Here is a 26,371-nt window from a genome sequence, read left to right as displayed (position 1 = left end):
TCCCAGGCTTCACTGAGCTATGATCAGCCACTTTACTCCAGCAGCCTGGGCAACAGAGCAAGACCCTGTCTTTTGGAAAAAAAAAAAAAAAAAGACGAATGAGTCTAAATTCAGAGTGCTTTCTAATTCAAAAGGAACAGTGATTTTCAGTTAATATCGCTTTTTACAGGTGTGATACCCAAGGATCACTTCTCTTTTAATTTCCTTTCCCATAGCAGCCCTATTCTCCTCACATTCAGAGGACACAAAGACTGTACAGGCAGCAACTGCACAAAGAACCCATAGACAAAATAAGTAGGGGCCATTTTGTGGATAATTTGGGAATGGGAATTCGGTCCTTGTGGCAGGAGAAGTTTTCTTCGGCTCACATTCTCCGGGTGAGTCATGTAGGTTTATCCCATTATTTGCACAATTCCTCACCTCTCCCCGTGGGCTGCAGTATCACCCAGCCACAATGGCATCTGCCCTTCACCGCTTCATCCCCTGCAGCCTGCTTGGTCAGGGCCTGGCAGGGAGCTGAGGAGCCCAGAGAGGGAGGGGAGGAAGCACGCGGCCGCCAGTGGCTGTCAGCTTTCCCAGCTGACTCAACTCCCCACCTCCTCCTCCCCCGCCCTGCACACAGCCACCAGCCTCCTAACTTTCCATTTCCAGGCCTCTGGGGTGGGAGCACCCCCTCCCGCTGCCCGGGGCGCCTGGTCTGCAGTCTGGGGCTGCCAGGGCACCACGCCAGCTGGCCTGGCGGGCTCTCTCCCGGGACTCTTAGAGTCTGCTGTCATGGAGAGAACGGAATATAGGTCAAGGTGCTCTCGGAAGGGCCCAGGGGAGGATCACCTGACTGGGAGGTGTGTGACTCAGCGGGAAGGGAAGGGGTGGAGCCGAATCTCCCGCCCGGAGGAGTCCGGAGGAGGAAGAGGTCAGGTTGCCTCTGTCTGGCTGATTGTCAGGGGAGGAAGGAGAAAGCAGCTGGAGGCAGAAGGAAGGATAAGATGACCTCTGGTGACCTATCTAAGGTGGAACACAAATCCATTCCAGAGCGGGCCGTCCCCCTCGGTGTAGCTGAAACCACTCCCAGCTCAGAACTCTCTCTGTGGTCGTGAAGACCTAATTAGCTGCCAAAGTGAGAAACCAAATTAACCGAACGCTCATCACTCCAGACTCCATCGACCCAGGCCCCTAAAAGAAACCAAAGACCCTGGTACAGCACACAAAGGTGGCCATCCCCATTAGAAGCAATTCGATCGTTTCCCCCAATCAATTCTGAATATGAAAATTACTAACCCATTTTATTTTACGGGTCCACACGGCAGGGGCCTCCTTTCAAGGGTGCGGCAGTTGCTGCTGTTGCTGGAACAGCAGCTGCTCTGTCTGAGCCTCACTTCCTCTGGCTCCAGCTGCAGGTTCCTCCTGGCCAAGCAGGGAGTTTCCTCATTCTCAGGGCTCTGGGCCCAGGCCTTGCTAGCGGCCACCCTCACCTCCCACCCTCAGCTGCTCACCACCCACCCTCTGTGGGTAGTGCTCTGGGACTCCCTCGTTCCATGAGTCAGAGCCAGGCTGGAGACAGACAGTAGGCTTCCTTTATTAAATCAGCCTCCTGCCCCGTACACTATAGAGGAAAGCTATAATTACTCCTTTGGCCTGGCTCTGAGAACTGAGCCACAGACGCTTGACTAGGAGCGACGGTTCTTGATTTCTGCATTTATCTAATGATGCACCCCAGTTTGGAAATAAGAATAACAGCCAGGGGTTAAGGGCTTGTTACACAAACGTCAGATGTTTTGCATATGTAATGGGGTGCATTGGGCCTGGATAGTCATGTAGATTGCTAGAAAAATCGCTATATTAAGGCTGCCAGGAGTTTTCTGTTTTGTTTTGCATGCCTCCTGCCTCGCGTTGATTGAGTCACACTTGAGGTGGCCTGCTCATTGCTGATGTTGGTTTACAAGAGACAAAGAAAAAAGCAGCCAAACATTGTTTCGGGTCTCCAGGTCAGGACTCTTTCATCCCTTAGGTATAATAGACACAAAATCTCAGGCCTCCCAGCTTTTCTTTCTTTCTTTTTTTTTTTTTTTTTGAGACGGAGTCTCACTCTGTTGCCCAGGCTGGAGTGGGGCAGAGCCATATCAGCTCACTGCAACCTCCACCTCCTGGGTTCAAGCAATTCTCCTGCCTCAGCCTCCCAAATAGCTGGGATTACAGATGCCCAACACCATGCCCAGCTTATTTTTGTATTTTTAGTAGAGACGAGGTTTCACCATGTTGGCCAGGCTGGTCTTGAACTCCTGACCTCAGGTGATCCACCCGCCTCGGCCTCCCAAAGTGCTGGGATTACAGGCGTAAGCCACCACGCCTGTCTGCCTCCCAGCTTTTCTACTGGTTTACAGAAATGTCTGAAACCTGAAAAAACAGTTGGTTCCAATTTTTTTTTTGAGACGAAGTCTCGCTCTTGTCCCCCAGGCTGGAGTGCAATGGCACGATCTCGGCTCACTGCAACCTCCACCTCCTGGGTTCAAGTGATTCTCCTGCCTCAACCTCCTGAGTAGCTGGGATTACAGGCACCTGCCACCACACCTGGCTAATTTTTGTATTTTTAGTAGAGACAGGGTTTCACCATTTTGGCCAGGCTGGGCTCGAACTCCTGACCTAAGGTCATCCACCCATCTCGGCCTCCCAAAGTGCTGGGATTACAGTGTGAGCCACCGCACCCAGCCTGGTTCCAAAATTTTTAAAAACCACAAAATCAAAATAATATCGTCAATTTTCATTAACTATTCAATTTAGTATTCATTGATTCATTCACTTATTCATCCATTCCTGCAAGCATGCATTTATTTCTTCATTCAATAAATATTTGTTGAGTTACCTCTCTGTGCCACACACAGTTACAGGTACTAGGGACACATTAAGTGCTAAATTCACTAAAGATACAGACAAAACTAAGCATACAAATATCTCTGCCCTTGTGGGTCAATAATAGACACAACAGACCAGGTACGGTGGCTCATGCCTGTAATCCCAGTGCTTTGGGAGGCTGATGGGGGCTGATTGCTTGAGCCTAGGAGTTTGAGGCTGCAGTGAGCTATGATCGTCACCCAGGCACTCCAGCCTGGGTGACAGAGCAAGACTGTGAAAGAAAGAGAAAGAAGGAAGGAAGGAAGGAAGGAAGGAAGGAAGGAAGGAAGGAAGGAAGGAAGGGAGAGCGAGGTTAGAGGAATTGTTGATAAAGGAGGAATTGGCATTTCAGAATAATCTGTGAGTTAGATATCTCTCACAGCGAGAGTTCTCAAGTCTGCATGATTGCTGAGAAATTATAACCAATTATAAATTGAGTTAAATTCTTTAAGCCATGTTTATAATCAAAATGTAAGTGTATTTAAATATACTTGATAAGAGATAAAAAGTAAAAGTACCATGGCATGTGACCCTATCTCTGGTTATGGGTAGGTGCTGTGGGTTGAATATTTGTCTCCTCTAAAACTCATGTTGAACTTTAATCCCCAATGTGGCAGTATTGAGAGATGTGGTCTTTAAACGGTGCTTGCATCATGAGGGCTCTGCCCTAATGAATGGGTTAATCCATGAGTGGATTAATCCACTCATGGATTAATGGGTTATAATGGGTGGGGACTGATGGCTTTATAAGAAGAACAAAGACCTGAGCTAACATGTTAGCACACTCAGCCCCCTCACCATGCGACACCTTGGACCACCTTAGTACTCTTCAGAGAGTCCCCTCAAGCAAGAAGGCTGTCACCAGATAGGACCCCTTGACCTGGGACTTCTCAGCCTCTGTAACTGTGAAGAAATTTCTTTTCTTTATCAATTATCCAGTTTCAAGTGTTTGGTTATAAGCAACATGAAAGAGAATAACACAGTGAAGTTATTTCATTCAAGAATTTATTGAGCACCTATAATATAGTAGCTAAGGACTTAGGTGTCAGATGCCAGCGTTCAGATCCTGGCTCTATCATTTACTACTTGTGTGATTCTGGGAGAGACACTTAGTTTCAGTTTCCCATCTACAAAATTGGGGTAGTATAGAACTTAACTTATAGAGTTTCCAGAATAATTAAATGAAATAATAAAAGTAAAGGTGTCAGTTAATATAGCACCTGGCACTTAATAAGCAAGCACTCAATAAATGTTATGGCAAAAATCGCAATTATTTTTGCACCAACCTAATATTATCATATTGTTGGTTTAATAATGATGAGGTACCCGGCATTGTGTTGGGTATTGGCGACCCAAAGTTGAATAAGACAGTGACGTGGTCCTAACTGGGAAAGGCTTTGCAAGCATTCTGTGCTTCATTAAATCCTTACGTCTTGGCTGGGCATAGTGGCTCATGCTGGTAATCTCAACACTTTGGGAGGCTGAGGTGGGAGGATCGCTTGAGCCCAGGAAGTTGAGGCTGCAGTGACCCATGATTGTGCCACTGAACTCAATCCAGCCTGAGTTTTAGAGACCCTATCTCTAAAAAAAAAAAAAAAAAATCTTCACAGTCCCCTTGCAGGATGACCCCCACTGCTCCACCAACTGACCACTGTAAACCATATTTGGAAAGGCAATAACCATGAAGAGATCACAATGAGATGTCACTTAATACCCTTTCAGTTGGAAAAAATTAAGAAGCTTGATAATACCAAATTGTTGGAAAGAACACAGATCAATTGGATATTTATATGTTTGTTGTTACTGGGATTGTAAATTGATAAATTCACATTGTTTCCCTGGAGACACAGACAAAAATGATCAGCTTAGCGTGTTCAAAGTCATGGAAAGCTGGTAACAACCCAAATGTCCACTAACAGGAGATTCAGTAAATTCCCATGGAACATACTAGGGAGAACTGCAATAGAGCAGGGACAACAAGTGGACCGTAGCTGAATGCTACGCTATGGGTGAGTTTTAGCCACATAATATTATGAGAAAAAAGTATACCCAAGAAAGCTGCATATAGCAGGATATTCTTTTTTGTTTTAATTTTAATTTTTTTTTTTAGAGACAGGGTCTTGCTCTGTTGCCCAAGTTGGAGTGCAGTGGCACTATCATGGCTCACTGCAGCCTCAATCTCCTGGGCTCAAGCAATCCTCCTGCCTCAGCCTCCCAAGTAGCTGGGACTACAGGCACACACCACCACGCCCAGCTACATTTTAAAAATTTTTTTGTAGAGACAGGGTCTTGCTGTGTTGCCCAGGCTGGTCTTGAACTCCTGGCTTCAAGTGATCCTCCTGCCTCCCCCTCCCAAAGTGCTGATATTATAGGTATGAACCACTGCGCCTAGCCAGGATATTCCTTTACACAAGAAAAAACAACAAATCTAAACAATATGGCTTTTAGAAAAATATTTGAAAAAGCATTAGTTTTTAGAGGAGCAAAGGAATGATGAACTCAATATTCAGAATAGGGTGGGGAAGGCAAAGTAATAGGAAGGGAGGACACAGGGGAAGAACGTGCAGTGGAGTGACTGTATTATAAGGAAATACACAAACAGATAAATAACAAATTACCAGATGCAGGTTGCACAAGGTCCAACTGAAGATGAAAGAATGTCATGAGTCAAATATTGTGAATAACCCTAAGCACTTAAATTCAGTAAAAAGGAAAACAAGGCCGGGCGCGGTGGCTCACGCCTGTAATCCCAGCACTTTGGGAGACTGAGGCGGGCAGATCACCTGAGGTCAGGAGTTCAAAACCAACCTGACCAACGTGGCGAAACCCTGTATCTACTAAAAATACAAAATTAGTGGGGTGTGGTGGTGCATGCCTGTAATTCCAGCTACTCAGGAGGCTGGGGGAGGAGAATCACTTGAACCCGGGAGGCAGAGGTTTCAGTGAGCCAAGATCACACCATTGCACTCCAGCCTGGGCGACAGAGGAAGACTCCATCTCAAAAAAAAAAAAAAAAGAAAAAGTAAACAAAAGCCTGCTCTTGGGACTGGTATGAAGTACCCATAAGGAAGGGTGTTGAGAGACGGGAAATAAAGCAGGGTGTGTGTGTGTTTCCAGGAGGATTAGGCAGAGGTGACACTATCAGTTATGCACTGCTGTTGCAGGTTCAGAATTGTCACCTGGGGTCACCGGGTACGGGTGAGTTTTCACTGTGACGGGGCTGGGAAACACCCCGGCCCAGCCATGTTCAGTCACTGGTCTCTCTGTGCGGTGGCTGGCCCTTGGTGTCCTCTCCCTGGGTCTTTGCCAGGCCTGCCCCTGCCACCTGCCCCGGTACAGACTTCCAGTTCCTGTGTTCTCAGACAGGATCAGCCCTGCCCCGCCCAGCCCAGACTAGGCGGATGCTGGGTGTATATAGGAAATCTTGCACAGCAGGAGTTCCAGGCACACTACCAGAAACCATGCAGTTTGGTCACCAAGCCCATAGGCCTAGACACCTTCTCTCCTGCTCTGCGGGGAACCCAAGGGGAAGTGCTCTCAGACAGCTGAGCTGCCACAGCAGAGCTGCCTGCTGTCACAGCCAGGCCCCACTGGCCATGTGCTGAAGCAAGCACTTTTTCCTTAAGATAAAGTCTCCTCCAGGCCCCCAAGGCTGACACCGGGCAGAGGCACACATTGTTAGGCCCAGTCATTGACAGACTTCATGGACAGAACTAACTGGGACACTCGCAATCGAACCAAAGCCAGTCCCTGGTTCTCTTTTGTGCTTCTGCTGGTGGGTCAGAGCTCTCAAGGCTCTGAGAGCTGCTTCCATGCCCCTCACCCCAAAACAATCATCAGTGTCCATCATGAGAGAGCACAGAAACGAGCCAGGAGGACCCTAGATCAAGTTGTACCTGGCCACTTTCTAGCTATCTCTGTTAGCTTAATTCTCTAAGCCTCAGCTTTCTATCTGTACAATGCGGACAATCATACCGCCTTTGCCTGATTGAAAGGCATTAGTGAGAACAACATGACACAATGGGGAAGAAAGTGCTTATCAAACAGAAAGGTGTGGTACATTTGTACTAGAATGTAAGCCCCTAGAAGGCAGGAACCTTGTATGACTCCTTCACTGCCCTACTCTCAGGGTCAAGGACAATGCCTGGCACATAGCAGGTGCTCAATAAATAGTTCTTGAATGAGCGAATTGGGTTATGACAGATTAGAGTAAAAATAATGATGATGATGATAATCCCTAACATTAATTGCATCTTGGCTATGTGCCACGCATAGTGCTTAGGGCTGTAATAGATAATCCCATCTAAGCTTTACAACAACCCAATAAATGGGGGTACTATTGTTATTCACATTCTGCAGATGAGTTAATGCGATTCAGAGAAGTCAGTGATTTTCCTAAGGCCACATAGCTAGCTGAATAGGTTGTGACCAAAGTGATATGAATTTGCAGATTCAGAGAGGCTCACCACCTAAAAATGGAACATAGGGGTGGCCCTAGTGCCTGAGAGGCAATGATGAGAGTCACTGAATTTTGATATCTTTCTCACTCTTCAAGAATCCAATATTAAAGTGCAGATGCAGCAGGGCATAATGGCTCATGCCTGTAATCCCAACACTTTGGGAGGCAAAGGCAGGAGGATGGCTTGCGCTCAGGAGTTTGAGACCAGCCCTGGCGACATAGTGAGACCCCATTTTTACAAAGAATGCAAAAATTAGCTGGGTGTGGTGGTGCACGCCTGTAGTCCCAGCTATTCGAGAGGCTGAAATGGGAGGATCACTTAAGGTTGAGAGATTGAGGCTGCAGGGAGCCTTGGTCACACCACTGCACTCCAGCCTGGATGACAAAGTGAGATCCTTTCTCTAAATAAATAAATAAATAAATAAATAATAATAAAGGTGCAGGTGCCTCTGGAAAAGTCAAATCTAAATTTCCAATGAGGAAATAATCTAGTTTATCTGTTTGCTTCCTAAGTGTGGAGAGTGGGGTTCTTTTGCAGGGATGGGATTTAGGGTGGGTAGGGGTTACACGTAACAGACACAGAGTTTGCTAGGGAGGGAGCTGAGAAGGCACTTAAGATGAATGTTGACTGTTTTTACTGAGAACTGGCCTAGGACTTCAGGAGGGCAAAAGGGTGTTTGGGCTCCCAAATCACCTTCATGGGACATCTGTCACCCAGCAGCCCAAGGGCCCTGGAAGGTAAAGAGCTGAGTGACAACAGTTGTTTGTCTCCGAGAGAGGTAGCAGTACAGAGACATTATCAAAGGGGGTTTTCTTTTATGTTTGCATATTTTATGATAAGCATGTATTTGCATATCACCTATGGAGTTAAAAGTATATTTAAATAAATGAAAAACTAGAAATGGGTGGAAGAAGGTTGAGAAAAGTCATGGGTTGGATTCTCCAAAGCAACACAGCTTCCAAGACCGTACAGCCTGCGCCAGGCTGCAGCTCTCCAGGGCTTGGCTGATTTACTGGAGATGAACTGCAGCCCCCAGCCTTCCCAGGGTATGACAGCCAATGAGCCTGATCCACAGCTGGGGGGGAAGTATTTGCCTTTGCAGTTGGCAGCATCTCCCTGCCTCCAAGCCTTCCTCATGAGAGACTCATTATGCAGTTTGGTCACATGCCCTATGCATTTTAATGAATGAGTCAGGGGACAGACTCAATTTGAAAGAGGAATCGCTGCTCTCGGCTGGGTGAAGGGCTCTCAAGGGATGCTCTTGCAGCTTGGATATTACAAGAAAAGGAAAGGAGGAAGCTCTTTCCATTTAGCAAGAAGGAAAGGAGGTCTGAAGAGGAAGGTCAAAAGGAAGGAAGGAGAGAAGGAAGGGAGGGAGGGAGGAAGGAGAGAGGGAAAATGGAAGGGACAGAAATAACTGCCTGGAGTTCAGAAAACAGTCCTTGAACAGATGCTGCCCACCAGGCACTCGTTTGCTCCTTTATCCTCCACTTATTTATTCCAAACATTTAGTGCTGTGTAAGTGCCAGGACCACACTAGGCATGGGAGTTATAAGACAAATGAGACAGAGTCCTTGTCCAAAAGGAGTTTGCAGGAAACCAAACCAGTTTGGTCATGTCAGAGTAACTACGGCAGGGGTCTAATTTGGGAGGTGGGATGAGCAAAAGGAGACGGCGTTCGCCTCCTCCCTGTGAGTACACCCATGGGAAGGCAGGGGATCCCTGGCTCCAGGGCCACCATTTCTTAAGCACTTCCCACCTGCCAGATGTAGGGGTGAGGACATCACAGTTAGTATCTCCCTGAATCCTCACAATCATCCCAGGAGGCAGATCCTGTTACTGTCACATTTTTTACAGATGAGGAAACTGAAGCAGAGAGAGCAGCTTGCCCAAGGTCACCCGGGGATTTGAACTCAGTTCTGTCTGACTCCAGCGTTCTTGGCAGCTCAGTTCTATGCTGTCAGCCAACCACTGGATGGGGAATGCTGGAGAAGGCCTTTCCCTTCCCAGGCTTCCTTCCAAGAACACTCTGAACCCCCAGGAGGAAGGGGTTGGTGTGGATCCAGATGGAGTCAGCGCCAACCAGCCTGGGAGCAGATCCGAAACCTCACTGAGTGGGGCTGTGTGTGGGACTGAGAGCCCAAGGGCGGGGGAGAGGAAGGAAGCTGAGCCTCACCGCGGTCAGTCGGGGGGGGGTGAGCTGTTCCCATCCTCCACACCACAAAACACAGGGCAGCAGATGCCTAGCAAATGGGCGTGTGAGAGCATGGTGGGCAGGCAGGCAGGCAATGTCACCAAATTACTCAACAAAGCCACCCTGGCTTTGAACTTTGAGCCAGACTCTGCTGGGACAGGGCATGGGGGTTGGGGTGGGGTGGCACTCACCACTGTGAAAAGGATGTCTGCCACCCCCCTGCCCCCAAGTGGGAGAACATAGCCTGGGGAGAAGCCAAGAAACTGGAAAGCCACCGCACACCCACATTCTCATGAATTTTTACAGCTGGAGAGAAAGAGCGATACACAAGCCCGGCAGGACTCTGGGGCCCTGGGCTTCATGCCGGGGAGGAAAGAAAGGCCACCTGCCATGAACCTGGACTGCACACAAAAACAGCCTTTACTGAGCGATTACTGTATGCCAGGACCGTCATACACGTGATCCCACAGAACCCTCACTGTCACTATCCCCATTATACTGAAGAAGAGATCTCGACTGATGTGCAGAGAGATTAATACCTTGCCACACTCACATGTTTTCCTGCTTTTGGTTTTCACAAGGAGAGATTTTTCCTAAACACCCCTCTTTATCTTCACTCTCACTGTCCACAATAATGGAATGACTGATCTGAATGGGTGACTTGGGAAGACTCTCTGGAATGATCAGCTCAGCCCCATCCTTCTCCCAGGCTCGGTCAGGAAGCTCATTTTGTTCTCACACTCAGCTGCAACCTCCATGCTAGCTTTAGTGGTAATTAAGGTGGTATGTTGGCTCCCTGCCATTCCTTTGTCTTCTTTCTCAATGTGTTCAGAACCTGGAGGCAGAGGAGGGACTCCGGTTTTTGGAAGACTCTTTGGAGATGTCAGCAACACTTAAGAGGATGCTGAGACTCTGGCCAAACCATCCTCATTTGACTGGGGGATTCTTCTCTCCCTCCACATCCTGGCAAAGGATGCTCTTGGCTCCAGGATCAAGTTCCCTTGAAAGAAGTCCAGGAACCAGCCCTGCAACCAGCGTGGCCTCCCCTTCTTTTTGTTTTATTTTTGATTGGCATTTTTTTCTGGGACGAGGAAGACCAAGTCTTGTACCCAGCTGCCTGGTGTAAAGGGGATCAGTCATGTGAGGGTGTTCCTCGTGTGCCAGTGTCTTTCCTTCCAGTTCTTTCCCTTGCCACCTGCCAGGGCATCAACAATGGGTCCTTGACATACTCAACTGCCATCAGTCTAAACTGTTTACTCAGGAATGAACCTGGGTGGGTGATCCAAATCCCAGGGCAGGCCTTGATTAACCCATACCCTAAATGTCCTAGTTTCCAGTCCCAGTGGATCTGCCAGGGAATTCAGAGCCAGTTGTGTCTCTGTGTGACTCTAAGCACAGTCCACACTACCTTGCCATGTTGACCATGGGCAAAGTCCTCACCTGCTCTGTGCTTTGATTTCCTCATCTGTAAAAATGGGAAGACAATACCTGTACTCCTGTTTGTCTCATAGGACTGTTATGAAGCTCAAAGATATTAAATATGTGAAACTTATTTGAAAAGGAATAAAAAATGCTCCATGAGATAGGAGAAGGGAATTATTGTTTTATGATCTTCAATAATGTGCCTGAGGACTTACAAAGCATTTATAGCAAGCACCTTCAGTTTTGCCATTAGTATCTATTCAACTTCATTTTCTTTTGTTTTGTTTTGTTTTTTTGAGACAGTATCTCACTCTGTCACCCAGGCTGGAGTGCAGTGGCACCATCATAGCTCACTGCAGTCTCGACCTCCCGGGCTCAAGTGATCCACCTGCCTCAGCCTCTCAAGTAACTGGGACTACAGGTGCACGCCACCATGGCTGGCTAATTATTATTATTATTTTTTTTTTTTTGAGACAGAGTCTCACTCTGTCACCCAGGTTGGAGTGCAGTGGCACGATCTCGGCTCACTGCAACCTCCGCCTCCCAGGTTCAAGCGATTCTTCTGCCACAGACTCCTGAGTAGCTGGGACTACAGGCACGCATCACCATGCTCAGCTAATTTTTGTATTTTTAGTAGAGATGGGGTTTCACCATATTGGCCAGGCTGGTATCGAACTCCTGACCTCATGATCCGCCTGCCTCAGCCTCTCAAAGTGCTGGGATTACAGGTGTGAGCCACCACGCCCGGCTGAGCTAATTTTTATTGTAAAGACAGGGTCTCACTATGTTGCCCAGGCTGGTCTCTAACTCCTGGCCTCAAGCGATCCTCCTGCCTTGGCCTCCCAAAGTGTTAGGATTACAGGAATAAGCCACTATGCCTGGCCTCACCTTCATTTGGGTAACCATGCCCAACACCCCTGCAATGCCCTGTAATGAACCACTCCTCCTGCTCTCTCAGTCCCTATAGATGCAGTGACATCAGCTCAAGTAAATAAGTGCATGTTGGCCGGGCGCGGTGGCTCAAGCCTGTAATCCCAGCACTTTGGGAGGCCGAGGAGGGTGGATCAGGAGGTCAGGAGATCGAGACCATCCTGGCTAACACAGTGAAACCCCGTCTCTACTAAAAACACAAAAAAATTAGCCAGGCGTGGTGGCAGGCATCTGTAGTCCCAGCTACTCGGGAGGCTAAGGCAGGAGAATGGCATGAACCTGGGAGGCGGAGCTGGCAGTGAGCTGAGATCGCGCCACTGCACTCCAGCCTGGGCGACAGAACGAGACTCCATCTCAAAAAAAAAAAAAAAACAAAGTGCATGTCATTTTCCTTGATTACAGTGATTGTTTCAGGGATGCTCATGGGACCCAATCAGGGTCAATGAGACTTTTGTCAGAATCTCTCTGACCCCAGACCTGAAAGGATATAGGGGCTAGAACTGATGCTGTCAGCTTGTTACATTAACCCAAGACTAAAGTTAAAAGACAGAATATGGAGCCAAGACGTAAGGAGAGTCCCGCTCTAACATTTGAACTCCAAATCCATCATGTCCATCCTTGGAATTTTCATCTTAAGATGAGCCCCTGCACTCCTGTTTTGCTCAAAAGTATCTTGGATTGGATTTCTATTTTTTTTTTTTTTTGAGACAGACTCTTGCTCTGTTGCCCAGGCTGGAGTGCAATGGCATGATCTCGGCTCACTGCAAACTCAGCCTCCTGGATTCAAGTGATTCTCCTACCTCAGCTTCCCGAGTAGCTGGGATTATGGGCGCCCACGACCATGCCTGGTTAATTTTTGTATTTTTAGTAGAGACAAGGTTTCATCATGTTGGCCAGGCTGGTCTCGAACTCCTGACCTCAAGTGATCCTCCTGCTTTGGCCTTCCAAAGTGCTGGGATTACAGGCATGAGCCACTGTGTCCAGTCTTGAATTGGATTTTCTATCACCTGCTACCAAAAGAATCCTAAGGAATATGACATTATCTCATAACGATCCTTTCAACAACTGTGAAGTAAGTATTGTAACCCCTGCTTTACAGATAAGGAAGAGAAAGTGAGGCACAGAGAAGCTATGTGATATAAATAGTGGAGGCAGGATTTGAATCAAGTCTCCTGGCTTTTGGAGCTTGCATCCTATCCACTGCATGAGGACTTGGGAATAGACCCGAGTCTCATATTCACAGCTTAGTCACAGACTTCAAGTCAGCAGTAGAGCATCTGCCAGGAGAGGAGAGCCCTGATTCCCCTGCAGTCAGAGGCTGAGAGGACATAATTCACCGGTGTTCTCTGCTCCGTGTGCCCTCTCCCTGGAAGAAAAGCACCAACAGGAGGAGGAACTCAGCCAATTCCTATAGAGCTTATGCTTGGTGTCAAGGGTTTGGAGGGCCCTTAATGGCTCACCACCTCCTGCTACTTCTAGAGAGTGATACTTCATAGTTTACTTGTTAGAAGTCACTCTTCTCTCTAAAGACAATGGGGCCTGATAAAATGCAAATACATCTCAGGCTTCCCAGGGCTTACAACCTGAGCTACTATCAGTGATGACAGTTTCGTAGTAATAATGGATTTGAGAAGGTTTAGGGCACCAGGTGCATGGTGGGGATAGGAGGTGTGGCCCCCTGGAAGGGAAAAGGGGTGCAGAAAGGGACACCTGAAGATTGGGTAAGTTTCCATTGGTTGAGGGAGCAAGTCAGCTGTATACATTTGATAGTAAGATACTATAATAGAATATTTGGGATTTGCTTCAAAATAACACAGGGATGGAGAAAGTGGGTGGAGATATAGATACAATAAAATTGGCCATGAGTTGATAATTCTTGAAGCTGGGTTATGAGGGTTCATTCCGCCTACCTGAGCATTTATTTGAAATTTTTGTTAGTAATTTTTAAAAGGATAATGAATAATAAAAAACATTTTGTGCTTTCTTCTTTGTAGAGCCCTTTCACACATATCTTATATGCACCTCACAAATGATTTTTTTCCTCATTTTAAAGACACCAACACTGAGGCTCAGAGAAGCTAAGTCATTTATGCCAGGTGGAATTGAGAGCTGAACCTGGACCTTCCAATGTCTCCTGCCTTCCAAGGTTAGTCTGGGGCGGGAGGCAACAGAGGGAGGTTTGGCAGCCTCTGTTTGGCAGGGGCTGACAGGCAGGGACAGTTACCCAGTGAGCCAGTCAGTCCTATTCACTTTCAAGTCCTGCCCTAAGGCAGCCCAGTCTGTGTATAATTGGTGCGGCACAGACCCCAGGAGGGCCTCAGGGAACCATTGAGCACACGGTGGAAAGCTCCAGGCCACTGATTTCATGTGCCTCTTGGTAGTTAAGAAAACAGTGAGTCTAGCTCAGCAGACTCTAGACCTTTTCATGGGCATCTTGAGAACCGTTGCCTGAACATCTGGGTCTGATAAAGGGAGACCCACGTGGGCCTCCCTGCCCCCTTTCCTATAACAATTTCCGCACGTCCCCTTGAAGCTCTGGGCATGTGGCTGTTCTTTTCTTTTCTTTCCTCTCAAACATATGGATTCTCAGCTCCTATTTCAAACTCAAATGCTCTCTGCTATAAACTCCCCAAAGCTCTCAATTTCCTTTTTCCATTGCTCATTCTTTCCTAAACTGCATGAAAAATCTTCTCTTAGCTCTGTTCCAATTTCCTTGTTTATGAAGGAAGGGCAATGAGAACAGTGATTTTAATTATCAAGGTTAAGTAAGGCCTGATTCCTTCCTTAGGAGAACACACCTCAATAACCTGGGAAATCAAAGCTTACCAGGCAAGAGGAGCAACTCACAGAAAAGCCCTGGCTCCTCCAAAATATTTACCCGGCAGGAGGCCTCGTACAGTGCCATCTGCTCCTTTTATCTGACTGAAACTTCCTCTTTGAAAATCACTAATGGAATAGAAAAAAGAAAAGTCACGGGCATGATTCCCAGAAGGTTATTGCTAAAGCGGGTGTGTGTTATCTGGGAAGCAAAGAACAGGTCCCTGCCTGTTCCTTAGCCTGTGGCCTTGTGTGTCTTTATGGAATGGGAACTTATCCCCTTGAAAGCAGAAAGAACCCAGCCCCCAGCCCCAGAATACTGGATAAATCAGCATCAATGGGGGCAGGGAGGAAGGGTGTGTGATGTACCAGGAGCCCAGGGGATAGAAGGTCCTCCCCAAGGCAGATGTCAGGAAACTCAAGTGCCTTTAGGCACAGCAGGCAACATAAATGTCCTGGGGGGTAAGATGATCAAAGGCAGGCTGGGTCTGGGGGTAATCCCAGTGCTCTAGGTGGACATTGCTTGAGGCCAGTGGTAAAAGACCAGCCTAGGCAACATAGCAAGACCTCATCTCTAAAAAAAATAAAAAAAAAAAAAAAAAAAAAGATGATCAAAGGCAGCTGACCAGAGTGGTGGGGACTGGAGACAGCAAGTCCTCTGTGAAAGGGGCAGCAGCTACTCACTTCTGGCTCTAGCTGATTGCTATTATGGACGAATGTGGCCCTCTGTTGCCAGATCTTTTATTTTTCCAAAATAAGTGAAGATTTGGATTTTACGTGAAGTCTCCCAATTTGGGAATTGACTTAAGTAAAAAGTATTGCAAAAGACGATGTTATGAGCCAAACAAAGCCTGTCTAGCAGTCCAAGTTTACCCGAGCACCCCCAGTTTGCAACCCTAACCTAGGAAGTGGGTCCTGTATGCCTGCAGTATGGTAGAGGGTGTGGACAGACGAAGCCAGGAGGTCAGATGAAGGCATACCACGAAAGACTTGACCAGCATCCTAACAGGGTAAGACCGCCTGATGTTCCTGGGGCTCAGAAAACACTTTCCGGCTTCTGTGATTGTGATTTTGTTGTTGCTGTTGTTGTTTTGAGACGAAGTCTCACTCTGTTGCCAGGCTGGAGTGCAGTGGCGTGATCTCAGCTCACTGCAACCTCCGCCTCCCAGGTTCAAGCCATTCTCCTGCCTCAGCCTCCCAAGTAGCTGGGACTACAGGCGCCTACCACCACGCCCGGCTAATTTTTTGTATTTTAGTAGATACAGGGTTTCACCATATTGGCCAGGATCGTTTCGATCTCCTGACCTCATGATCCACCCGCCTTGGCCTCCCAAAGTGCTGGGATTATAGGCATGAGCCACCGCACCCTGCCAGGCTTCTGTGATTTTATCATGCTGTATCTGCTGCCAGTTGGGTCCTTACCAACAACACTCTAAACTGCTTCAGAAATCCTCCTCCTCTTCAAGGCCAGTTCAGGACTCTTTCTTTGGGTAGGGCAAGTTTTCACTTGAGTCTCTGACCACATTTGAGTCAACCTTAAGAACTTAAAATTCACCTGCCCATAGAAGAATTAAGTGACACCTTCCTTTCCTTCACATTCCATGGTCATGACCAGCAAGTAACTGCATATTTAAGGAGCTCTTCTACTGGTGCGGTGGCTCACACCTGTAATCTCAGCAGTTTGGGAGCCCAAGGCAAGAGGATTGCTTGAAACCAGGAGTCAAGACCAGCCTGGGCAACATAGTGAGACCTCACCTCTACAAAAAAATTCAAAAATTAGTCAGGGCTGGGTGCGGGTGGCTCACGCTTGTAATCCCAGAACTTTAAGAGGCTGAGGCGGGAGGATCATTTGAGCCAGGAGTTTGAGACCCCAGGCTGGGCAACAAAGTGAGACCCTATCTCAATTAAAAAAAAAAATTAGTTGGGCATAGTGATGCACACTTGTAGTCCTAGCTACTTGGCAAGCTGAGGTGGGAGGATCGCTTGAGGCCATGAGTTCAAGGCTACAGTGAGCTATGATCATGCCACTGCACTCCAGCCTGGGTGACAGAGTGAGAGACAGGTTTTATTTTGTTAAAAATAAAACAAAGAAGTCGGGGGGTGGGGGCGCTTTTATTTTCAAAAAAAAGTTTCAAGGACAACTTCTGTTTCTCATCTCTGTGAGAGAAAAGAGGGAAACTGAGGCACGGAGTTGGGGGCTATTTGCTGAAAGACACCTTTGGCAGGACTCCAAAGAGTGGGCAGAACCACATACTAAGCTATTTTTCAAAGTTCAGGTGTCTTCAGGAATTGTCCATAATAAAGATAAGTAGAATTTCCTTACAATGGAATGGTGCAGAAATCTAACAGGCAGAGAAAGAGGGGAAAAAACCTTAAGCAAAGGTGTGGCAATATAATCTCTTTCTCTGGCATTATCTTTTTGCTGCCAGTTAGATTCTTTTAGTCTTGCAATTCCCTTATACAGGAAATGAGAAAGATGAGTGGAAGGAGACGATAAGAGGAGAAATTTCAGAGCAAGGGCAAGTGTGTTAAATGAATGACTGCCTACAGTAGGGTGTGTCCAGGAATGTCTGGGGGTGTGTTTGCATCCTTAGTTTATGCAAGTTATGCACCAAAGCTTTGCATCCTTAGCTATGCAAGCCATTTTGGTGGAAGTGTTGTTTCTCATACTTCAGGAAATACAATACCCTCCTATGGGGACCTTTGTGATTTGTCACCCTCTCTCCCATCTCCTCAACACACTGTTGCCAGTCACTTAATCAATGCCTATTTGTAGAATATCCTCTTGGTACCTGGCACTGTGATATGTACCAAGGTTACATCAATGAACAAGGAAGACACAATCATAGTCCTCAGGGGGCCACAGTTTAAAAGGGAGGCAGACGACTGATGGGAAACCACAGTTCAGCAGGGTGAGCACTCAGATAGAGGACACAAAGAGGGAGGGCATGGAGGAGGAAGCTTACCTGACAGGGCAGAGAGGAGCTGGGAACGTATCCTGGAAGAAGGGAGTCTAACCTGGGATCTGAAGGATGTGCTGGAATTGGACGGGTAAAAAGCAAAGAGAATGCTTCAGGCAGAGCCAAGTGCATGGGCAAAGATCTGAAGGTCGAATTCCTCCTGCACCTGATGAAGATCTGTGGTTGGAAGTAAGGCAAGCTCTGTCCTGGGAAGGTTTCCAGGGTTCTGGGGCCAAGTAAGGGACCAACAGGGCAGTGGCTATAAGCTGAGGCTGAGAACCTTAAAATTCTTTGTTCTCAAATTTAAACCAATCGGTTAAAAGCATTTAAAATAGGCTGGGTGCAGTGGCTCATGCCTGTAATCCCAACACTTCAGGAGGCAGAGGTGGGAAGATCACCTGAGCCTAAGAGTTTGAGACAAGACTGGGCAACATGATGAAACCCTGTCTTTACCCAAAGAAATATAAAAATTAGTTGGGTGTGGCGGCAAAGGCCTGCAGTCCCAGCTACTCAGGAGGCTGAGGTGGGAGGATGGCTTGAGCAGGGAAGGTTGAGGCTGCAGTGAGCCAAGATCACGCCACTGCACTCCAGCATGGATGACAGGGCAAGATGCTGACATACATGAATAAATAAATAAATAAATAAATAAATAAATAAATAAATAAATAAATAAAATGTTCTCCTGTCCTTAAGATACTTAGAATACAGGATGGAGAACTAAGTGTTTACCAGACACTGGAAAATAGTCCTTCCTCCTGATATGGAACACCAACACCAAGGTTAAAGCACAGAGCCTGAGACAAAGTGACTTTTAAATTCCAGTGCGCAGGAGACAAAGAACATTCATACATTTTGTTCTTTCTCTTTCTCTCTCTCTCACACACACACATACACACTAACCTGGTGAGGTAGGCAGAGTAGGTGTTAGACTTTTTTAAATATTGTTTTTATAGAGGAGAAAACTGAGGCTCAAAGAGGAAAAGTATCCAAGGTTATTGGTTTATTCATTCATTCATTCATTCATTCATTCATTCACAAACTTGACAAATATAAACAGATCACTTACCAGCCTGGGCAACATAGTGAAACACCATCTCTACAAAAAAAAATTTTTTTTTAATTAGCCAAGCATGGTGGCATGCACCTGTAGTCCCAGCTACTTGGGAGGCTGAGGTAAGAGGATTGCTTGAGCCCAGGAGTTTGAGGCTGCAGTGAACCACTATCATGCCACTGCACTCTAGCCTGGGCAACAGGGCAAACCCCCAACTTGAGGGGAAAAAAGAGCACCTGCTGACCTGCTGTTGGCAGGATTGTGCTTGGCACTGTGGATAGAGTGGTGAATAAGACACGCCTACTCATAGGAGCCAGGGTTCAAACTCATGGAAATTCTGATTCCAATTCCAGTGCCCTTCCCAATACAATGAACTGCAGGTTTGATGTGTTGTCTCCACTGCTCCAGTGGTTTGGGTGGGTGCTTTATTGCCCCATAGTCTTTGCCAGCTACCACCTCCCAAAACATACCATCAAAGAGAAAACTGCATAGTTGTTATGCAAATGTATCTTTAAGACAAGGTGCAGAACCAGATTCTCCCTGTAAGTCCCTCCCATCTAGAAACTCTGTATCCACCAAAGACTGTCCTGAACTGGTTGCCTTTGACAGTCCCTGGGAGATTTTCCATCCTGCCTCCATGCCCTGTACTAGCTGAGAGCAAATGCTTTTAAAATCTCATCTTTGGCAAATCTTCTCTCTAAACACTGCCTGATGGAAGTAGGGATGGGACAAAGCTTCTTTCAAAGCAAAAGGGGGAAGACTGGAGTGGGAAGGAGAAGGAAGGGAATAAACAAGGAATAAGACACCAGACCCACTTTGCGTAATGAATAACTTTGCTGTGAGCCAGCACTGGCCAAGGTCAGAGATGACTGGCAAAACCCAACCAGACAGACATCCCTGAAAGATGCTTGGGAGAGGCTGGTGTATCTCCCCAGAGCCGGGCATGTTATTTCCTGGGGCAATGCAAGTCACAGAGGATGAAAGCTGATGACTGAATGTCTGGGGCAGGGTGGAAGGCCTAGCCAGGAGGTGGGGGTGGAGGAGTAGAAAGGGAGAGGGGTGGAGACTTGGCTGGTTTTTGCACAGACAAATCTCTTCATTTTTCCAGACTGGAAAAAGCTGTTTGGGCTGTGCGCATTTGCAGAGAGTCACGGTATTTACTACGCTTCCTGGCTCAACAGATTTCTTTTTGTCATTCAGTCAAACCCAGCTTGTATTTCTTGTAGCAAGAACTGAACAGACTGTGGGAGCTCTTCCCCCTCGTTGTGTTCAAAAACACATCACGAATGACTCAAAAAGCCCAGCTTACTTGGGCAGCAGGGGTGGGTGGGGTAGCATGTTGTAGAGACAAAGACCTGTGTTTAGACAAACACTGTCTCCCCCTTGGAGGTGTAGAGTGACACTCCTTATTTTCCCAGCACACATATTTCTTGAGCAACTGTAATAACAAACTGCTGTACTAGAAACTGATTGCCGCACCTTGCGTATGCCTCTCAGTTATCCATGTTGATGGGCGTGTGAGTAGGCTACAGGGAAGGGATAACCAGAAAAAGTGGTTAATAAAAAAAAGAAAAAAACCCTTCTTGCCAAAATATGTCTCCTAAGATCTGTTTCTGCCCACAGAATACTTCTGTTAACAAATGTGTGGGTCTTTTCCCCCATGCCAACCAATTCTCCAACACCAGCTGGTGTCCTATAATGCAATTCAATTCTGACACTAACTACCTGGAGATTCCACAGGTTAAGGGCTTAGTTGCACAGATTGCTCCCACTTCAGATGCCAGTTGAAGGTCCCGGATCTCTGGGACTTCTGACCAACCAGCTATAAATTCAGGAGGTCCCCATGCCCCCCTCCTCAGATTCAATAATTTGCTAGAAAGCTCACAGAATGCAGGGAAACACTTTCCTTATGTTTACCAGTTTACTATAAAGACACAAGTCAGAAACAGCTAGATGAAGAGATGCAGAGGGCAAGGTATGGTGGGGCTAGACAGAGCTTCCATGCTCTCTCTGGGAGCACCACCTTCCTAGTTCTTCCAAGTGTTCACCAACCCAGATGCTCCTCAAATCTCATTGTTCAAGAGTTTTCATAGAGCTTAGTCTCCAGCATTGCACCCCCAGCCCCTTTCGAGGGGCTGGTCAGTAGGTGGTACTGAAAGTTCCAGTGTGGTCTTTTTGGTGACCAGCCATACCCTGAGGCTATCTAGGATTCCAACCAAAAGACACCCCACTAACATAAACTGAGGTATAATGGAAAGGGGCTTATTATGAATAACAAAAGATATTCCTACCATTCAGAAAATTCCCAGGGATGTAGGAGCTGTGTACCAGGAACCAGAGACAAAGACCAAATATATTTTTGTATTATACCACAGTGCCTAAACATAACTCAGTTCTAGAAGTGTTTCTGGCCAGATGTCAGATTAGAACGTCATCTGTTGAAGCATTTTATGCTAAGTCATTGGTTCAATCCAACAAACATTGTGTGAGCACTTAACGTGTGCAATATACAGCTCTAGGGGTGGAGGTATCCAAGCTGACCACAGCTTACCATGCATTTTGCAGTTTTAATAGAAAGCAATCTGGGAGCCCAATGGCATGAACAGCCAATGGTGGAAGTTTTGCCACCAAAGATGGACCAGACCAGTAGGAAAATCTTTTGAGGGGTACGAGAAGGAAAAGCTTTCCCAGGTCCCTTCATACTCCAAGGCTCCTGTATGTATAACGCTAGCCAAACAACCATACTGAAAGTATGGTCATCAAATCTTGCTGAACCAACCTAGGATTTATGCTTCCCAGGAGCTGCAGAGTGGGAGCTTCACTTTCAAAGACGACATAATGCCATATTCAGGCAACCTCTGACCTCTGCAGGCAGGAGGCGGGTAAATAAGCAGATAACTCTGGTGATGCTGGTTAGCATCACCTGATACAATGTTAACAGTGCCTCAGACCTCTTGCTTTTCTCTGAATTGGCAAAGCACAATGTTATCTTGCATTAATTTAAGGGGAGAAAGGACCCACACAGACTTCTCCTCAAATCTGCTTCTGGGCCAGGAGCCATGAGGAGTTAGGGGAATGGAAGTGGGGAGGGAAGCAGTAAGGGTCTTTAAGGGACCAAGGGAGTTGGGGAGCTAGGAATTCTGTATAGTCCAAGTTGACTATGCCAGATGTGGCTCATTTTATTTTCTTTTAAAAGATTATTATGGGCACAGGCAGGAAAAGAAAAAAAGTAGACATGATCAAATAATACTTAGTCTGTTTTATGTTGCTATAACAGAATACTACAGACTAGTAATTTACAATGAACAGAAATGTATTTGGCTCATAGCTCTGGAGGCTGGGAAGTCCAATGGCATACCACCAGCACCTTGAGACGACCTTTGTGCTGTGTCATCAGGTGGCAGAAGGTGGAATGGCAAGTAAGTGCAAGAGACAGAAAGGGAAACAGGGCCGAACTTCATCCTCCTCACTCCCAAGATAACTAACCCCTTCCTGTGAAAACATCATGAATCAATTCAAGAGGCCTCTACTCTTATGACCTAATCACCTCTTAAAGGTCCCACCTTATAATACTGTCACAATGGCAATTAAATTTCAACACCACTTTTGGAGGGAACATTCAAACCATAGCAAGTACAAAGTTTCAGTTACACAGGAGACATAAACTTAAGTGATATATTGGACAGAATGGTGACTATAATAAATAAAAATGCATTGTATATATATATTTTTTTCTCTTTTTCCTTTTCTGAGACATGGTTTCATTTTGTTGCCCATGCCGGAGTGCAGTGGTGCAATCTCAGCTCACTGCAACCTCCACCTCCCCGGTTCAAGCGACTCTCCTGCCTCAGCTCCCCAAGTAGCTGGGACTACAGATGAGCAACACCATGCCTGGCTAATTTTTGTATTTTTAGTAGAGACGGGATTTTTGCCATGTTGGCTAGGCTGATCTTGAACTCTGACCTCAAGTGATCCACCTGACTTGGCCTCCCAAAGTGTTAGAATTACAGGGGTGAGCCACTGCACTGGGTCGCATTGCATATTTCAAAATTGCCGAAGAAGTAGATTTCAAATGTTTTACCTCAAAAAAAGATAAGTGTGTGAGGTACTGAATTCATCAACTAGCCTGATTTAATCATTACATATTGTAAACGTACATTGTGCCCCTTAAATATATACTTTAAAAATAAAATTTTAGGCTGGGCGCGGTGGCTCATACCTGTAATCCCAGCATTTTGGGAGTCTGAGGCAGGCGGATCACGAAGTCAGAAGACAGAGCCCATCCTGGCTAACATGGTGAAACCCCGTCTCTACTAAAAATACAAAAACAAAATTAACTGGGCGTGGTGGCGGGTGCCTGTAGTCCCAGCTACTCAGGAAGCTGAGGTGGGAGAATGGCATGAACCCAGAAGGCAGAGCTTTCAGTGAGCCGAGATCACGCCACTGCACTCCAGCCTGGGCGACAGAGCGAGACCCCATCTCAAACAAAAAAAAATGAATTTAAAAAATAAAATTTTATATATTAAAAAAAAAAATGGGCAAGCACAGTGGCTCTCACCTGTGATCCCAACACTTTGGGAAGCCAAGGCAGGCGGATCACCTGAGGTCAGCAGTTTGAGACCAGACTGGCCAACATGGGAAAACCCTGTTTCTACTAAAAATACAAAAATTAGTTAGGCGTGGTGGCACACACCTGTAATCCCAGCTACTCAGGAGGCTGAGGTAGGAGAATTGCTTGAACCCAGGAGGCGGAGGTTGCAGCAAGCCAAGATCATGCCACTGCACTCCAGCCTGGGCAACAGAGTGAGACTCCATCTCAAAAACAAAACAAAACAAATAAACTTAGTTGGGCCTGGTGGCATGCACCTGTAGTCCCAGCTACTCAGGAGGCTGAGGTGGGAGGATTCTTTGAGCCTAGGAGTTCAAGGCTGCAGTGAGCTGTGATCCTGCCACTGAGACCTTGCTTGTAAAAATAAATAAATAAATAAATACATTTTTTAAATTAGCAAACAAAAATTAATTAATTAAAATTTGCTTTTGTTTTTGTTTTTGAGATAGAGTCTCACTCTGTTGCCCAGGCTGGAGTGCAGTGGCATGATCTCAGCTCACTGCAACCTCCACCTCCAGGTTCAAGTGATTCTCCTGTCTTAGCCTCCCAAGTAGCTGGGACTACAGGCATGCACCACCATGCCCAGCAAATTTATACATATATATATATTTTTTCTTTTCTTTGCTTTTCTTTTTTTTTGACATGGAGTTTCACTCTTGTCATCCAGGCTGGAGTGCCCTGGCATGATCTCGGCTCATTGCAACCTCTGCCTCCTGGGTTCAAGCGATTTCCCTGCCTCAGCCTCCTGAGTAGCTGGAATTATAGGCGCCTGCCACCATGCCTGACTAATTTTTGTATTTTTAGTAGAGATGGGGTTTTGCCATGTTGGCCAGGCTGGTCTCGAACTCCTGACCTTAAGTGATCTGCCTGTCTTGGCCTCCCAAAGTGCTGTGATTACAGGCGAGAGCCATCACACCCAGCCTAATTAAAATAATTTTTTTTTAAAAATTGGATGTTATGAAAAATTTTTTAATGTGTTCATAAAAAGACAATATCAACAGAGTAAAAAGACAACCCAGAAATAGAAGTAAATATTTATAAATCATATATCTGATGGAGGATTAATAGCCAGAAGATACAGAGAACTCCTACAACTCAACAACAACAAACGTGATTCAAAATGGGCAAAGGACTTGAATAGATATTTCTCCAAAGAAGATATATAAACGGCCAATAAGCACATGAAAAGATGCTTGACATCGCTAATTATTAGGGAAATGGAAATCAAAGCTATAATGAGATGCCACTCACACCATTAAGATGGCTACTCTGAAAAAAACAGAAAATAACAAGTGTTGGTGAGGACGTGGAGAAATGGGAATCCTTGTGCACTGCTGGTGGGAATGTAAAAAAGCTATACCTGTGGGGAAAACAGTACGTCAGGTCCTCAAAAGATTAAAAATGAAATTACCATATGTATTAGTCCATTTTCATGCTGCTGATAAAGACATATGTGAGTCTGGGAAGGAAAAGAGATTTAATTGGACTTACAGTTCCACATGGCAGGGGAGGCCTCGGAATCATGGCGAGAGGCAAAAGGCACTTCTTATGTAGCAGCAGCAAGAGAAAATGAGGAAGATGCAAAAGCAGAACCCCCCACCCCCGGAATAAAACCATCAGATCTCGTGAGACTTATTCACTACCAAGAGAACAGTATGGGGGAAACCGCCCCCATGATTCAAATTATCTCCCACTGGGTCCCTCCCACAACACATGGGATTTATGGGAGTACAATTCAAGATGAAATTCGGGTGGGGGTACAGAGCCAAACCATATCATTCCGCCCCTGGCCCCTCCAAATCTCATGACCTCACATTTCAAAACCAATCTTGCCTTCCCAATAGTCCCCCAAAGTCTTAACTCATTTCAGCATTAACCCCAAAGTCCACATTCCGAAGTCTCTTCTGAGACAAGGCAGGTCCCTTCTGTCTATGAGCCTGTAAAATCAAAAGCAAGCTAGTTACTTCCTAGATACAATGGGGGTACAGGTATTAGGTAAATATAGCCATTCCAAATGGGAGAAATTGGCCAAAACAAAGGGGTTACAGGGCCCATGCAAGCCTGAAATCCATCAGGGCAGTCAAATTTTGAAGCTCTAAAATGATCTCCTTTGACTCCAGGTCTCATATCCAGGTCACACTGATGCAAGAGGTGGGTTACTGTGGCCTTGGGCAGCTCTGCCCCTCTGGCTTTGCTGGATACAGCCTCCCTCCCCACTGCTTTTACAGGCTGGTGTTGTCTGTGGCTTTTCCAGGCACACGATGCAAGTTGGATCTGCCATTCTGGGGTGTGGAGGATGGTGGCCCTCTTCTCACAGCTCCACTAGGCAGTGTCCCAGTAGGGACTCTGTGTGGGGGCTCCAACCTCACATTTCCCTTCTGCACTGCCCTAGCAGAGGTTCCCATGAGAGCCCCACCCTGCAGCAAACTTCTGCCTGGGCATCCAGGCGTCTCCATACATCTTCTAAAATCTAGGCGGAGGTTCCCAAACCCCAGTTCTTGACTTCTGTGCAGCCACAGGCTCAACACCACATGGAAGCTGCCAAGGCTTGGTGCTTGCACCCTCCGAAGCCATGGCCCAAGCTCTACATTGACCCCTTTCACCCACGGCTGGAGTGGCTGGGATGCAGGGCACCAAGTCCCTAGACTGCACACAGCATGGGGACCCTGGGGCCTATCCACAAAACCATTTTTTCCTCCTCAACCTCTGGGCCTGTGATGGGAGAGGCTGCCGCAAAGGTCTCTGCCATTTCCTGGAGACATTTTCTCCATTGTCCTGGGGATTAACATTCAGCTCCTCATTACTTATGCAAATTTTTGCAGCCTGCTTGAATGTCTCCTCAGAAAATGGGATTTGCTTTTCTATTGCATTGTCAGGCTGCAAATTTTCTGAACTTTTATGCTCTGCTTCCCTTTTAAAACTGAATGCCTTTAACAGCACCCAAGTCAACTCTTGAATGCTTTGCTGCTTAGAAATATCTTCCACCAGATACCCTAAATCATCTCTCTCAATTTCAAAGTTCCACAAATCTCTAGGGCA

The 26,371-nt window shown here is 46.5% G+C and overlaps 1 protein-coding gene across 28 annotated transcripts in view, besides 9 other annotated features; it reads right to left on the bottom strand.

Moving 5' to 3' along the window:
- Nucleotides 1-26,371, bottom strand: part of CHD9 (chromodomain helicase DNA binding protein 9) — a 272,507-nt gene that overhangs the window by 226,951 nt on the left and 19,185 nt on the right. For 2 of the 28 annotated variants that reach the window (NR_168123.1, NR_168116.1), the window contains exons 2-3: nucleotides 18,739-18,768; nucleotides 17,679-17,749 (exon numbers count right to left, since the gene is read on the bottom strand). The exons of 18 other annotated variants lie outside the window; for them this stretch is intronic. The gene's annotated coding sequence lies outside the window, so the exon portion shown is untranslated. Of the gene's footprint in view, nucleotides 1-1,278; nucleotides 18,769-22,942; nucleotides 23,037-26,371 lie in introns of all 28 variants that reach the window. 8 more of the 28 variants (XM_047434707.1, XM_047434693.1, XM_047434692.1 and 5 more) reach the window with 7 other exon arrangements.
- Nucleotides 218-317: an enhancer, noted in NCBI's record as "active region_10840". NCBI's record gives its function as "activates an Ori minimal core promoter by ATAC-STARR-seq in GM12878 lymphoblastoid cells {active_cell/tissue: GM12878}" and the evidence as "EXISTENCE:reporter gene assay evidence [ECO:0000049][PMID:35858748]".
- Nucleotides 390-1,589: an enhancer, noted in NCBI's record as "P300/CBP strongly-dependent group 1 enhancer chr16:53132870-53134069 (GRCh37/hg19 assembly coordinates)". NCBI's record gives its function as "activates an origin of replication core promoter dependent on BRD2, BRD4, P300/CBP, MED14 and CDK7 cofactors, with strong dependence on P300/CBP, by STARR-seq in HCT116 cells {active_cell/tissue: HCT116}" and the evidence as "EXISTENCE:reporter gene assay evidence [ECO:0000049][PMID:35650434]".
- Nucleotides 390-1,677: a biological region, named in NCBI's record as "P300/CBP strongly-dependent group 1 enhancer GRCh37_chr16:53132870-53134069".
- Nucleotides 618-727: a silencer, noted in NCBI's record as "silent region_7493". NCBI's record gives its function as "represses an Ori minimal core promoter by ATAC-STARR-seq in GM12878 lymphoblastoid cells {active_cell/tissue: GM12878}" and the evidence as "EXISTENCE:reporter gene assay evidence [ECO:0000049][PMID:35858748]".
- Nucleotides 1,268-1,347: an enhancer, noted in NCBI's record as "active region_10839". NCBI's record gives its function as "activates an Ori minimal core promoter by ATAC-STARR-seq in GM12878 lymphoblastoid cells {active_cell/tissue: GM12878}" and the evidence as "EXISTENCE:reporter gene assay evidence [ECO:0000049][PMID:35858748]".
- Nucleotides 1,438-1,487: an enhancer, noted in NCBI's record as "active region_10838". NCBI's record gives its function as "activates an Ori minimal core promoter by ATAC-STARR-seq in GM12878 lymphoblastoid cells {active_cell/tissue: GM12878}" and the evidence as "EXISTENCE:reporter gene assay evidence [ECO:0000049][PMID:35858748]".
- Nucleotides 1,548-1,677: an enhancer, noted in NCBI's record as "active region_10837". NCBI's record gives its function as "activates an Ori minimal core promoter by ATAC-STARR-seq in GM12878 lymphoblastoid cells {active_cell/tissue: GM12878}" and the evidence as "EXISTENCE:reporter gene assay evidence [ECO:0000049][PMID:35858748]".
- Nucleotides 8,523-9,208: an enhancer, noted in NCBI's record as "H3K27ac-H3K4me1 hESC enhancer chr16:53125251-53125936 (GRCh37/hg19 assembly coordinates)". NCBI's record gives its function as "activates a minimal SCP1, AML or CMV promoter by ChIP-STARR-seq in naive H9 embryonic stem cells {active_cell/tissue: H9 hESC(naive)}" and the evidence as "EXISTENCE:reporter gene assay evidence [ECO:0000049][PMID:30033119]".
- Nucleotides 13,939-14,743: an enhancer, noted in NCBI's record as "NANOG-H3K27ac hESC enhancer chr16:53119716-53120520 (GRCh37/hg19 assembly coordinates)". NCBI's record gives its function as "activates a minimal SCP1, AML or CMV promoter by ChIP-STARR-seq in naive H9 embryonic stem cells {active_cell/tissue: H9 hESC(naive)}" and the evidence as "EXISTENCE:reporter gene assay evidence [ECO:0000049][PMID:30033119]".

This window comes from Homo sapiens, chromosome 16, assembly GCF_000001405.40.
Source record: "Homo sapiens chromosome 16, GRCh38.p14 Primary Assembly".
In the NCBI taxonomy this organism is placed as follows: Eukaryota; Metazoa; Chordata; class Mammalia; order Primates; family Hominidae; genus Homo; species Homo sapiens.
This window is presented reverse-complemented; position numbering and strand designations above follow the sequence as displayed.